The sequence below is a fragment of the Homo sapiens genome, chromosome 6 (genome assembly GCF_000001405.40).
Source record: "Homo sapiens chromosome 6, GRCh38.p14 Primary Assembly".
Lineage (NCBI taxonomy): Eukaryota > Metazoa > Chordata > Mammalia > Primates > Hominidae > Homo > Homo sapiens.
Window position 1 is genome coordinate 142900117 of NC_000006.12, and position 14010 is coordinate 142914126.

Below are 14010 nucleotides of genomic sequence, written 5' to 3' on the forward strand. Positions count from 1 at the left end.
GTATCTCCTGGATTGGCTAAAGTGGAACAGAGCAAAAATAAACGTTTTTCAGATTGTGCTCTCATTTCTAAGATGCAGGACAGGAACGTGGGCAAATCAATAGTCAAGTGGTGATGCTGTCACTTTTGAATGAAGAAACTAAACAAAGGACTGGGGAAATTGACAAAGATGAGTATGGCTGCAAAGCACAGTGAGAGAAGAAACTTGACGTCTGAGAGTTGAGTGAGGGGCTGAGAAACTGTAGGCAGGAATACCCACTTCACCAATCACTCCACGCCACCTCACCACCCTGGGCCACACGGTATTTAAGTACAAGGCAGGACATCAGATGACCTACCGAAAGTACTCCTTGCACAGAGAAGAAAGCTGACTACGGCTCTTGCCAGCGCCTACTCTACATGAAGGCTGCAATTAAACAGCTCTCCCTGGAATAAGACTGTGGAAAGAAGCAGCCAAGTGCCCCCCTGAGACACACAGAAAAGCAATAACTATGTTGACATTCCAAGAAGAGAGAGGGAGAAGAGCATTTTTCTTGCAGTCTCATTCTTTAATTGCCTCTTCTGGCTTCCTTTCTGGAGAGAGAAGGGAGGTGGGTGATGGCGGCTGGATCATGTAAAAGACCAGAGTGCAGCTGATGTGAACTTCTATCAGGCCTCCTTGCACAAAGACCTTATTATAATACACACATAAAAATGCGTGGGCAAGTCTTGGAGGGTTGAGGTTTTTCCCCCCAAACTCACTCCCAGCCCCGTGCTTTGAATGCAGTTGTGTATACACACCCTCTGACAGAATAGGTTCTTCGTGTTGCCATGGAGCTGAAACCTCTGTAGTTTAGATGGAAGGATCACAGTGCTTTTATACTTCTAACAGCAGAGGTAAGAATCACTGCATAATATTAACTCCACTTTTATTTCAGATTTTCCGTTGCTCATCTTCGTATTCTGCGTGAACTCTATTTATATTTTTTTACTCCTTATAAAATTACCTCATAGAAGCTGCTAGCAAACTGATTCTTTTCTTTGTAAATCAATATGTCAAAACTTGAGTGCATACATGATGTGTGAGTTTTCCCCACTCCTGCCCTTTTTAACAGAGAAAATTTGTGACCTTATCACATCTAGGGGAGTTTATGAGAAATGCAAAGTACAAATCAATTCATAGCTAATAAATATGCTGTGAAACACATAAAACGTCGCATAACCAGTAAGTATTTTCTCTGATATGATAAACCTAAAGATTATTTATATTCTGATTACTATTTTTCAAATAGGTTTCAAGAATCAAAATCATATCTAGAACGCTTTTGCAAACATAGATATGCTTCTGCAAGTTCCTCTCAGATCTTGTTTCAAAACTTAGCTACTACCCTATTGTTTGGAAATCAAATAAAATAATCAAATGAAAGAAAAACAAAGTAATTTCCTAGCACAACCTCAATGTCTATGCTGCCCCTCCTTTTCAGATTTTGTACCTCCTAAGAAATCAGTGATTTGACTTCTGCAAAATCAAATGCAAAGGAGTTAAATAAAACAATTTTGATTTCCTACCTGGAAATATGCTTTTGGTCCTATCACACATTCTCATAATCTTGAGCCTCAATGTCTCAGGTAAATTCGCCAATCTGCCGACAAGAAGTTTTGTATTATGACTTCTCCTCCCACAGTGCATGCATTACAACTTGACTACGAAAATGACCTTCGTCTTAACCAGAACAGCAAAACTGAATCTATCGGTTTGAAAAAATGAGAGTGCAAACATGCGGAGGAGGAAGAGGCAAAACAGGTGGATAAAATGTTGCACTAAGCTACACACAATATTAGTGCTAGAGTGCTCTGCAAAATGAAATCTTAAGAATTAGAAAATAGTTTATGAGGAATAAAATAGTGATGGCACTAGATGATAACCCAAATAATAAAATAAATATCCATGAGTCCACACCAAAGTCAATCAATCAATCAATAAAATATGTAGATATTTCCTCCCTTCAAAGATAAAGCTTAATTCTTCTCCCCTTAGGTGTGGGCTGACTTCCAAAGAATAGAATACAGAGAGAGAAAAAGCAGTAACTTTACAATGGAAAAACCTGGCAGAGTCTACCATAACCAAGTGATCAAAGTTAATATTACCAGTGATAAGGCATGTTGATGTGACACAATTCCTAACATAATGTGATGAGATGGGAACCTCGCCTGGTGGTATTCTGCCCCCAAAACCCATAAGCCCAGACTACAAAATTCCTGGCCCATACTCTTCCAAAATGTCAATTCCATCTGAAACAAGTAGACTGTGCCATGGTACTATCATATTGTATCTTGTGTCATATTAAATATTTTTAAAGTGAGTAGCTAATTAATACCAAATAAACTTCTCAGGCAAACCAAACCATTCTTTAAAACAGTTAACAACCACTCAAATAGAATAGCCTTTTTAAGATAGTAATATTGTTTAGATAGGAATTTTTCTTCTTCTCTTTTGATGCTTTCAGAACACCTCAGTATGACATCTTCAAATGGTGTACACTTCAGTTTTTTCTTTGCTAAAGACAGTGTGTATATTTCCACTATGACTAGCAACAATGGTGCTTGTATTGATTGTTCTGGCAGCTATTTAAATAGGCTTGTTCTCTCCCTATCTCAATGGCCTCACAATGCTGATACTACAATGCTCAGGAACTTCTGAGCACCCTAGCCAGATGCCCCTTACTGCTTGTGGACAGGCATTCCCCAGCCTCTTGGCTGGGTGACAGCAACCACAGCAGCCCACAAGACGGGTGGAGAACCAATGAGTAAAATGATAAACATTTGTGATGAAACAGGATGTTGGAGACAGGGGGGTGAGGAGACAAAATATCTCAACGCTGAACTACTAACGCTACTTTGGAACTCCTAACAGTGTTCCCTTGTTGTAAAACTAGGAGCAGTAAACCGATATTTTTCTCTGGTGTTTTCTCCTTTATTATAATTAATTTCAGAATTACTGCTAAACAACACACCATTACCCAGGCACAGAACTTAAGACTGAGCTAACTGAACCACAAGCACTATACCCCCATAAATATTGTAAATGTTCATTGGAGACACTTAAACAATTATGTGAAAATAAAATGTTTTCTGGACACAGAACACAACATTTTCAATAGTTCAGCCCTTGCTGTTGATTGAATGTACACTTTAAACCACCATTTCCCTTCTTATCTATGCCAGTTAGTAAGCATAAATTTAAGAAACTCTGAAATAAACATAGTACTTCACTTATACAGTGTCCTGGACTTGGACTTCACTTTGATGGACTCTCAGTATGTAAGTAAATATCTCTTAAGTTGAAATTCTATTGAAACTATTCCCTGATTTCTGTACTTGGAGTACAATCATTTTGTTTTAATTGCTATGTATTGAAGAATCCACAAAATATTAATGTTATAACTATGTTATAATACTAATGCATTATGCATTCCTGCTCGACCCCATAAATTAATGTACCAGTACCATATATGCATATATACCAGTACAAAATTGCAGAAAAAAAATGACTCCGGTGGTTCCCATTAATTCACACACTAATTCTGATATCAAGGTTAACAAAACAAAACAAAAAGGTGAAATCACCACTATGGTGGTGCTCTCTTGGACTCCTTTTTAAAGAGTGTTATCAACAAGGATGTCTTCTTAGAGTCTACGATACTCATTTCTCTCATCCATTTCATTCTTGCTTTATTGCTAATGATTGCACCAAAACAAAGCAAATGATTGCACCAAAGCAAAAAAAAAAAAATTCCATCTTAGTAGCAATTTGATACTTTAAATAAATCTCTGAAAACCTTTTCCACCAGAAGTGTCCTAACAGTGACAGATCATTTTGCACTATATACACAGAGATGGAACACAGCTATGCACTGAGGAATATGGAGGGGGCAGGAAGTGACTGAGATGCAGCAAGCTCACTTACCTCAGACTAAACACAAAACTTCATAGCAATATTAAACCCAAATTTCCAGTCATTTTTAGACTTAAAAACCCAATTCAGCCTGTCTGAATTTCAACTCGTATTTGGCAAGTACCTCCAAATGAAAAAGTGGGAAATTACAAAGATGAATTTGAGGACACACATTCTACTTTTGTTCCCCACTTGTCACACTTATCCTCCCCAAATATTATTTACCCATCTGTTTTATACATTTACCTTTAAAAATCATTTCCGGAAAAATTAGTAATTAACATTTTGAAAACAATGCTAGAGTAAAAAGGTTACAGTGTCACATATACTTTCCTTTAACAATGTAAATTACATAGTTCCTTGTAAAGCTGTTGTTCATGTTGAACAACAGGACCTCAAACTTGAAAAGGCAAAATTAAGCCTATGAGAAAACACAGTAGGTGCAGTATCAGAGGTGAATGTGACATTTCATTCCAAGCACTATTGCACACACACAACTGATAAATTTCCTACCAGTACACTCAAGTCTAAATCATAATTCAATATGGATATTAGTCCATACTCTTTCTGAATGAAAATAAGGCAACCCAATGAAACTGATGACATGATCAAAAAAAGATAAACAGCCCTTTTTACCCTTTAAAAGAACAAAGGAACATAAGAATATTTCTATTAATACTGATATTTTAAAGCATAACACCATAACCTATATTACTCAGCAAGATCAGTTTATTATCCATTTGTTTTCATTTATCCCGAAGATCATTCTTAGTCTTTCTACTTGTATCAGTTCAATTTGTTATCCTCACACTATTATTATCAGTTAAGTAACCCTGGGTAAACTGTGGTTTTCATATCTATTGACCTGGGATAACACAGGCTGATATGTCATTAGCATAAGCTTGTCCTAACAAGTATGACTCCTCTCCTTTTAAGATTTGTTAAAACCGACTTAATTATATTTTCTTAACTATCTTGATGATTTGGGTTGCCCACTTACTTTATAATATTTTGGATATTACAATTTATCTTTTTAAACTAAGGGAAAACAACCTTTCATTCACTTTTTAAATCCTTCCTCCATTGTATGAAATATTGGAAGACATATTGAATTCCCATCTCTAAATAAGAGTTAAGAAAGATACTGCTCAACCATCTACCAATAAACTATTACCAGATAACTTAGGTTATTTTAAAATAATTATAAGATCAATTAAACCAATATAAAGAAAATCTTGAAATGCACTATAAATTCCAAAAGTGCATCCTGTTTACACAATAAGATCTGAGCCTCAGAAAAAGAAAACCAACAAGGCATGATTTAGGTAATCAATACGGGGGCCCACTAAAATGATTTCTGCAAACGACCGGTGAGTTGAGCTCACATTTAAAAATGTACTATTACTTACATTTTAAAAGCAAGACACTGGAAAGTAGTGTTACAAATGCTCAAAAGCTCATGGAAAAAAATAATTTCCAAACATGGAGTGTTTTTCAAGTGTTTAATAAATATAAGTATTTTTGTTTTTAAAACCTGAGGTTAAATACAATTCTTAATTTACTAGCCAGATTCACTGTACTCAGAAATTCCTGCATATAGTTTTCATTTACTGTCTAATTTATCAATCTATAAATCTACATTTAATCTGAAAAAATTATATGACATAATAGACCCTTTAACTATTAATGGTTCAAACTGTTAATTCCCCCCACCATGGTCATGGTTTTAGAATATACAAGTCCGTAAGAATCCAAGCCACTTGACAGTAGACCAAGAAGCAACATAAAAAATGATAATCAGTCCGGGCGTGGTGGCTCACGCCTATAATCCTAGCCCTTTGGGAGGCCGAGGCGGGGGCGGACCACTGGAAGTCAGGAGTTCGAGACCAACCTGGCCAACGTGGCAAAACCCCATCTCTACTAAAAACACAAAAATTAGCTGGGCGTGGTGGCACATGCCTGTAATCCCAGCTACTTGGGAGGCTGAGGCAGGAGAACTGCTTTAACCCGGGAGGTGGAGGTTGCAGTAAGCTGAGATGGCACCATTGCACTCCAGCCTAGTTGACAGAGTGAGACTCTGTCTCAAAAAAAAATTAATAATAACAATAATCAGAGAACAACACTATCTTTATCACTGTAATTTTTAAATAACTTTGAAGGCATTCATGAAAAACTAACCAGAAACAGATAATCTAGATTAGGTAAAGCTAATATCATTTAAATGTGCAAAATAACAAAACGAGAATTAAATCACATTGAGAAATAGTAGAACCAAGTAGATATAAGGTAACAAGAATTAATATTTAAAATATATAAAAAGCTCATAGAAACTTACTTTTCAAAAAATAACTAAGAAATAAATTAGAAAAGATATGCCAAGTCAATCCAGACAAAGAAATGTAACAAATAAAGAAACCTCTTTAATTATTATTAAAATGCAAACCAAAACAACAATGCAGTCAAAATTTTTACTTTGGCACAATCATGATAAAAATGGGAAGCAATTTGAAAATGAGGACCATGTATGATAAAAAATATTCATTCCCTTTGAAAAACAACCCCAAAAGAAAAAAAAATGAATATTCAGCAATAAGGGGATTTTTAGAAAATTGTCACCATTAAATTAGATCAAAAATATGCAGCCATTAAAATCAGAATATGGTAATATGCAAAATGAAAGTGTTTATAAAAATGATTTTGAAAGTAAGGATTGTATCAATATCATGATTATAACTATTTCAAGTGTATGAATGTGGGCAAAGATCAAAGAATATACAAGGAAAAATTCTAAAAATCAAGTTGATACATTATAAAAGCCTATAAGATAGTTATGCATCTTTTCTTTATTGGTGATATAATATTGCTTTTGTGATAAATTAAAAACTTGACAAAAACAAATAAATTACAGCAAGCTAGTCAGCTCCAAAATTAAATCTCCCAAATGCATCAACCAGTACCTACCATAAAACAATGACTGTTCCACAGGAGAGTTCACCAATGGCCAGATCTCTGTAACCAAAGCAAGACCTACATCTTACATGAAATGAAACTGTGAATGGTCCGTAGCATATTCATACTCTTTAAGCTATTAATCCATGCCCAAGTGCTTAAAAAGTTTACTATCTAGCATATGATGTTGGAGATTGTTCATTTCTATCCTTGTGATTGTACTACATCCATTATTTCTATGGGAGTTCAGTATACACTACCAAATCACATTGTTTGAATACAGGCAATTCTCAACTTACAACCACCTGACGAAAACCAAAAATAAAACCAGCTGCTGCTTTCCCCGGGTTGTCGCCTTCTAGCACTACCAGTAGTCTTACTGTTACCCCTAGAGAGTCTCAGCTGTTGTGAAGAAATCTAAAACTTTTTAGAGAATTTGGGGGAAGAAAGGGTCAAAGCAATAAAACAGTACCAGATAGTGAATATACACAAAGCACACAAAGCCATTGCTTACCCTGAGTCGTACTCAGTAAAGGTTTGATGAATGAATGAATAAATTTCCTTTTCACCTCTGTAATTTGAGCCCCACTACTTTGCCTCTACCCTACTCCAGCAGCCTGTTAACAAGCCTCCTTTTGGGGCTCTCGATTCATGGAGCTGGAGCTCAAGAAGGGAGTGAAACCCCATAAACAAACAGCTGTGATCAACAGGCTGTCCACTGGGCAATTCAACAGAGAGGACCTGCGCTCAGGACCAATCCAAAAACGTCTGTTCTTGTGACCTCCCCTAGAGCATCGGTATGATGTATACTCCAATTGTACTTTGATGGCCTTAAAGGAGCAGAACCACTTTAAACATATCTAAAGTCTAATAACTTTTCGATTTATTTCACCCCATGTATTTCTAACTAATCTTTCATCTTCTGAAATTTCAAGCCACTCCATTACTCAAAAATCTTCCTCAGCTCTCTCTTACCAACTGAATTACAGAAAATCAAAGAAACTCAAAGTTTGAGAGGTCTGAAAGGACTTTTAGCACAACAACCTAAAGAACAGGGCAAAACAACTTCACTCTTTCATTCAAGTTCCATCACAACATGGTCCAGGCCTTCCTACTTATGATTCTCAGATCCTAACCTTGTATATTTCCCATCTCCTGACTTTCACTCATGCCACCATTTATATCATACTCTATTTGAATGGTGCCCTCACGATTTTACAAAATCCAACTCTTGGGCAGCCATATGTGGTGTTCCTACTTTCACTTGTAACATATGTCCATCTTCCAACCCATCGCTGCTTCTAAAGATGTTAACCAATCCTCAAGGTCCACATTTTCCAGAAAAACCTTTCCTGGTTCATGCAATTGGTCTTTTTCTCTGAACTTTCATTTCATCTGGTTTATGCCTGTTTTTTGCATATTCTGTCTTTTCCAGTAAAATGAGTTAGTCATGCTTGCCATTAACAATATTAGATTGCATTCTCTCTGAGAACATGATGTAGGGTTCACATTTATTTCTATATAGTTTCTAGCCCATTGCCAAAATCAGAACAGGTACTCAAATAATTGTTGGCTGGGACCTTTGATTGGTAAGAAAATACAGATGACTTTGGAACTAGAAAAATTTAAAGGAGTGATTTAGACTGGAATGGACTATAGCAATCAAAGACCAAGAACTAAATTTGGATAACTTGGTGCCTTCAGGTTGACTGGGTTGAGAAGGGTGCTAAGTGGTAGGATGTCACTGTCAAAAACATACTTTTCCCTATTTCAAAATTTTGCCTTAGACCAAATATGTACCTATGGAAAAAGACTTCCTCTCATCTTTTCCTCCACTCTGTAAGATACCACCTCTCAAAAAAAAAAAAAAAAAAAAAAATTCTGAATTCTACACAACGAATTAAAAACACAGTTTTGAAACAAAGTACAAAGGAACCAAGCATAATTTAACCTGTTTTGTAGAATATCAAAAATAACTTTCCTTTTTTAATTAACAATAGTCTATTAAAGGGCAGATTTTAGGGATACAAATCTGAAACACTTGAAGAGCAGGTGTATCATTTTAGAGGTATCTAAACGTTATTGTCTCTACTATATGGAGCCTGTGTGTCTGCCTAACACATAACATGCATTTTCTTAATTAGAATGCATGCTGAAATACCTATTTTAATAAATATATCATGACCCAAGGAAATCATTATGATCTATTAAAGAACAATTAACTATAAAAGCATTAGCTATACAGAAAGAGATAGCTTCAAATTGGTATACACAGATTTCTACTATCTATAGACAAAAATCTATCTGAACATTTTTCAAGACCTTAAAAGATGCTGTGTTTACATAGCAATGGTATAGTATACATTGGCAGATGATTCAAAATATTTTAGTATATATCTACATATATGAGTATTTATAATCTGAAAATTAAATCCCATGATTTTAAGACAATTTAAATATAAACTAGGCAGGGGAGAGTGCAGCAGTGTTAGAGAGGAGGTCACTGAGGAATGAATGAATATATATTAAGCATGTTTAATAAGGCTTTATACACCAACATTTTTTGAGATTACATATATCTAAAATGCAAAAAAACCAACTGCCTCTGTTTTTAATCAGAAATATCTCAGGGTCATTATCATAAACATAGATCACCATAGCAAACCTACTCATTTATTTATTTCCATTTACTAGGAAAATACTTAGGGAGCCTCTTCTATGAGTCAAGTACAACATTAAGTCCTGGAGATAACAGTATCATATGGGGCAGGCATGGTCTCAGCCCTAGTAGAACTTAGATTCTGAGTAGAAAGATCAAAAAATAGCTACTGTAAATTGGGGGAAACACAGTAACAGCTTCTGAAGCTACTGAGATGCTTACATTTGCTTACCCCTGCACTCTTGTTTCCTCCAGTGGCCTATATTTTGATCTTTAAGATCTTGCTTCTGATTTTTATAGTTTATCTATTTCCTTCTTCACTTTCAGGCTGTCAGTGATTACATTTGCAGTCAACATGCCATCCTTTACCAGTGACAATGTTTGACTTCCATATACTGCTCCTAATCTCTAGCCAATCAGATCATCAAGCCTATTAAAACTAAGCCTAAAATAAGGACAAACAAGCTCTGAGTGAAGGCTGAATAGGTATTTTCTACCATTGCAGTTTGATAAAATCATTTCATGCATTATCCGTTTCTTTCTGATGAGATATTTCTATTACCCAACTGACCATGCCACCCATTTAAGAAGATAATTTAAAGAAATGTTTTACCAACAAAATTTCCCACTCTTCTCTCATTCTCTTCTAAAATAAACAAAACAGGCCAGGCATGGTGGCTTGCGCCTGTAATCCCAGCACTTTGGGAGGCTGAGGCAGGCAGATCACGAGGTCAAGAGATTGAGACCATCCTGGCCAACATGGTGAAACCCCATCTCTACTAAAAAACACAAAAATTAGCTGGGTGTGGTGGCGCATGCCTGTAGTCCCAGCTATATGAGAGGCTGAGGCAGGAGAATTGTTTGAACCCGGCAGGCAGAGGTTGCAGTGAGCCAAGATTGTGCCACTGCAATCCAGCCTGGTGACACAGCGAGACTACGTCTCAAAAAATAAAAATAAAGATAAACAAAACAAAACAACAACAACAACAACAAACCTACACTTCTGCTTAGAAGCAAGATCCCTACTGCCAGAAAAGTCTTCTTTAAGTACAGTCCATAGAAATGGTATCTTAATATATAAACCACTGTTTCTCAAAGAGTAGTTCTCAGATCACCGGCAGCAGAATTACCTAATTTACCTCTTAACATTAAGGTTCCCTGTGCCTCACCTCAGACCTAGTGAATCACATGCGTAGAGCATGGGGGCCTGAATTTTTTAACGCTCCTTGAAAGACCATCGTGCATGATACAGCTTGAATCCACTGATCTAAATAACCAAAGAGTACACATTGAAAATGTCAGTCTGAGCCCTAAAGACTCAAGTCCTCTATTTTACTACCAGTCTGCAAAATTTAATGAATGCCACCCTCTGCAATGCACTGGATAAAATTAAGTTTAAAAAGTTCAAGACAATAAAGTTTAAAGGTCACCTCTACCCAGAGAGTTTCCACTTTAATATGGAAGACAAAGCACAAACACATTAAAAAAAAAAAAAAAAAAAAACTTAAAAATAAGCACAAACAACATTTCAGGGGAGCCCAGTGAATAGAGGACAAACGTGCTGAGAGGGGCAGAGCCTAGGACTGAACAGAATACAGTTGGGATTCAGAAAGGAAGAATTCTAAAACAAGTTTGGGGCAGAATTTAAACATAGCAATTTTCAAGTGGGTCTCTAAAAAGGTGTGATGATTGCCATAGGGCATTTAAGATCAAGGAGAAAATATGTATAATCATATCTCTTGGTACCATAGTCAACACAGAAAGAGAAGTGTCCTGCAGGCTTATTAAAAAGATGAGATATTGGTTTGGGAAAACCTCCCTGAAAAGAAGGTTTTATAAACATATATTATCTTTTGAGGCAGACAGAGGAGGTATTGTTATCCCCAGATTTACAGACGAGGAGACTAAGAATCATCTGAGACCCTTTTTTGCAGGGTTCTTATTATAGGACAAAGCTGGTCCTTTCCTTCCATCAGGGACTCTTTGCTCAGCCTGACACTGCTCCCAGGAGAAGGATCATTAATTCACTGTCTCAGAAATGAGACAACAAGCCATTCAAAAACATATTTCTCCCTCTGTCCAGTTCAAGAAACAATCAGGGGAAATGTGTGTGAGTGTTTGTGTGTCTGTGATGCGTATGTGTGCATGATATGTGTGCATGCATGTAGATCTATGCATGAGTGTGTGTGTCGAGGGTATCACTGACTAATTTAACTGACCGCTCATCATTTCATAATTAATGAGTTACTGTATTTTAGTGTCTAATGGATGTTTCAGTGCTAGTACTTATGGCTAATGATACTGAAAAGCAAAAGCCAATCAAAGTCTCTGACTTTGTGATTTGATTTGTGATCAAGATAATTATCTGAAATCTCCATACTGGGTTAGTGACAGCAGGTTTCCTCTGGCTGTGCTATCCAGTATGGTAGGCACTAGCCATATGTGGCTGCTTAGGTTTAAATATAAAATTAGCATTAAATAAAATTTAAAAATTAGTTCCTCAGCTGCACGGCCACATTTCAAGTACCCCAAAGCCACTTGTGTTTAGTGGCTACCATATTGGCCAATGCAGTTCAATTGGAGAGCACTGCTCCAGAGTGTCAGTCTTTCTGAAAAGACAACTTCAGGCCTCAGTGTATACAACCATTGTTATTTACATCTAGTTCCAAACACATGCTAATAACAGTGATCGAACTTTTGTCCCTCCCACTAAGGCTTCTCAAGCCCCTCTAGTAGAATTCATATATTTCTCCTCAGAAATCCCTTCCCCCTTCTCCTCATCACACCTCTCTTCTCGTGGCTGTTTTCATCCTGGCTTGATAGCTACGTGCACATCCATCTCCTCTACAGTCAGCTTCTCAAGGCCAGTGGGTCATGTTCAGTTACCAGTAATGGTCCATGGCCTTTTAGGAACCGCGTCGCACAGCACCAGGTGAGTGGTGGGCAAGCGAGCATTACTGCCTGAGCTCCACCTCCTATCAGAGCAGCGGTAGCATTAGATTCTCATAGGAGCGTGAAACCGACTGTGAACCGCGCATGCGAGGGATCTAGGTTGCATGCTCCTTATGACAATCTAATGTCTGATGATCTGAGGTGGAACTGTTTCATCCGGAAACCATCCACCATCCCCACACCATGGAAAAATTCTCCTCCATGAAACTGGTTCCTGGTGCCAAAAAGGTTGGAGACTGTGAGTTTAAAGAATGGTAAGGTTTTGTGATCATTCCTACGAGGTAGATGCTTAGGTGGAATTATTGCTTGTGCTGCACATTTATAAGGAGAAGAAAAAATCAAATGATTTTAGAAGTGGGTATGAAAATGTACTTAGCAGACATAAATCAGAAAAGCACTGGGCTGTATTGGAGGTATTGTTATCCCCAATTTACAGACGAGGAGACTAAGACTGTCATCAGCCAGCACACAGAGGATGGCCCCTTACCACAGCAGGGAGACAAAACCAGGACTCATGGTGACCTATGGGAACCGAACTGCTTAGCTTAGGATGAGCTTGTCAAAAAGTTGTATCAATTCATTTCTTACTCATGCTGTTACAACATCTTCAAAAACTCAAGCCTTGGGATGCTAATGAGAACTTCTACTTTCACTCTGACGACTTCTGAAACACGAAAAACGTACATTTCCTTCATGCTATCATTTGGATAGTTTCAAAGTACCTGAAGTATGAACAATATCTGATTTTTTCAATAAACCAGTTTGAGGGGGAAAACCCATGGATCAGGGCACACTGGCTGTCCCCATGAAGACAGAAAATACTAAAAAGGATTGAAGAGTTATCACACTGGTACTTCACTGCTCACTGCTTTCTTTTGCCAGCTTCAATGCCATACTTAACTAAGTATCTAATTGCCATACTTAACTAAGTTTCTAGGCACTTTCCCACAAGCCTTGGAAGAAAGAGGTGTCTACAGGGCCACCATAGACCAGAGGAAAGGTAAAACACGGGAAATGAAACCAAGTAACGTGGTGAGAGCACAACTGATGACAATCACAGAGAGCACAGTCGACTGCAGGGGGTGCTGAATGTGGCCTTCAGAGGAAGTGAAACTTAGAACAGGGCCAAAGATGCATCACTTTCCACAAGAAAAGTCACCCACTCTTGCCCCATCCTCACCTCCACGCCATCTCGTGGCTCACCATTGTGGCATTTCTTCATCGTCAACATTCCAGATTGATAAAAAGTAGTAAATTAAAGACTGGCCCAGCAAAGTCCCTGATCAGCCGGATCACCAGCAGCAAGTTGCACGTTTGCACGTGTCTCTCCCACCACAGTGTACCGCAAAACTCAGTCAGGTTAGAGCCCTGAAATATTATCAGGCTCTCAGTATATGAAAAAAAAAAAAGTGCCTGAGATGTGCTTGGAGATTGCAGTCATAGTACTGGGGATGGGCTCTGGCAGCAGCCCCTTGAAGCAGAACCTGAGCTAACACTGCGTATCCGTAGGTAACCGT

At 37.6% G+C, this 14010-nt stretch overlaps 1 protein-coding gene across 12 annotated transcripts in view, besides 5 other annotated features; it reads right to left on the reverse strand.

The window, feature by feature from the left end:
* Positions 1–14010, reverse strand: part of HIVEP2 (HIVEP zinc finger 2) — a 194265-nt gene that overhangs the window by 148648 nt on the left and 31607 nt on the right. For 3 of the 12 annotated variants that reach the window (NM_001438450.1, XM_047418712.1, XM_024446417.2), the window contains exon 2: positions 1548–1621. The exons of 4 other annotated variants lie outside the window; for them this stretch is intronic. The gene's annotated coding sequence lies outside the window, so the exon portion shown is untranslated. Of the gene's footprint in view, positions 1–1547; positions 11023–14010 lie in introns of those variants that run through there. 5 more of the 12 variants (XM_047418708.1, XM_047418715.1, XM_047418714.1 and 2 more) reach the window with 4 other exon arrangements.
* Positions 7221–7510: an enhancer, noted in NCBI's record as "active region_25185". NCBI's record gives its function as "activates an Ori minimal core promoter by ATAC-STARR-seq in GM12878 lymphoblastoid cells {active_cell/tissue: GM12878}" and the evidence as "EXISTENCE:reporter gene assay evidence [ECO:0000049][PMID:35858748]".
* Positions 11908–12764: an enhancer, noted in NCBI's record as "OCT4-NANOG hESC enhancer chr6:143233161-143234017 (GRCh37/hg19 assembly coordinates)". NCBI's record gives its function as "activates a minimal SCP1, AML or CMV promoter by ChIP-STARR-seq in primed H9 embryonic stem cells {active_cell/tissue: H9 hESC(primed)}" and the evidence as "EXISTENCE:reporter gene assay evidence [ECO:0000049][PMID:30033119]".
* Positions 13397–13466: an enhancer, noted in NCBI's record as "active region_25186". NCBI's record gives its function as "activates an Ori minimal core promoter by ATAC-STARR-seq in GM12878 lymphoblastoid cells {active_cell/tissue: GM12878}" and the evidence as "EXISTENCE:reporter gene assay evidence [ECO:0000049][PMID:35858748]".
* Positions 13697–13776: an enhancer, noted in NCBI's record as "active region_25187". NCBI's record gives its function as "activates an Ori minimal core promoter by ATAC-STARR-seq in GM12878 lymphoblastoid cells {active_cell/tissue: GM12878}" and the evidence as "EXISTENCE:reporter gene assay evidence [ECO:0000049][PMID:35858748]".
* Positions 13797–13886: an enhancer, noted in NCBI's record as "active region_25188". NCBI's record gives its function as "activates an Ori minimal core promoter by ATAC-STARR-seq in GM12878 lymphoblastoid cells {active_cell/tissue: GM12878}" and the evidence as "EXISTENCE:reporter gene assay evidence [ECO:0000049][PMID:35858748]".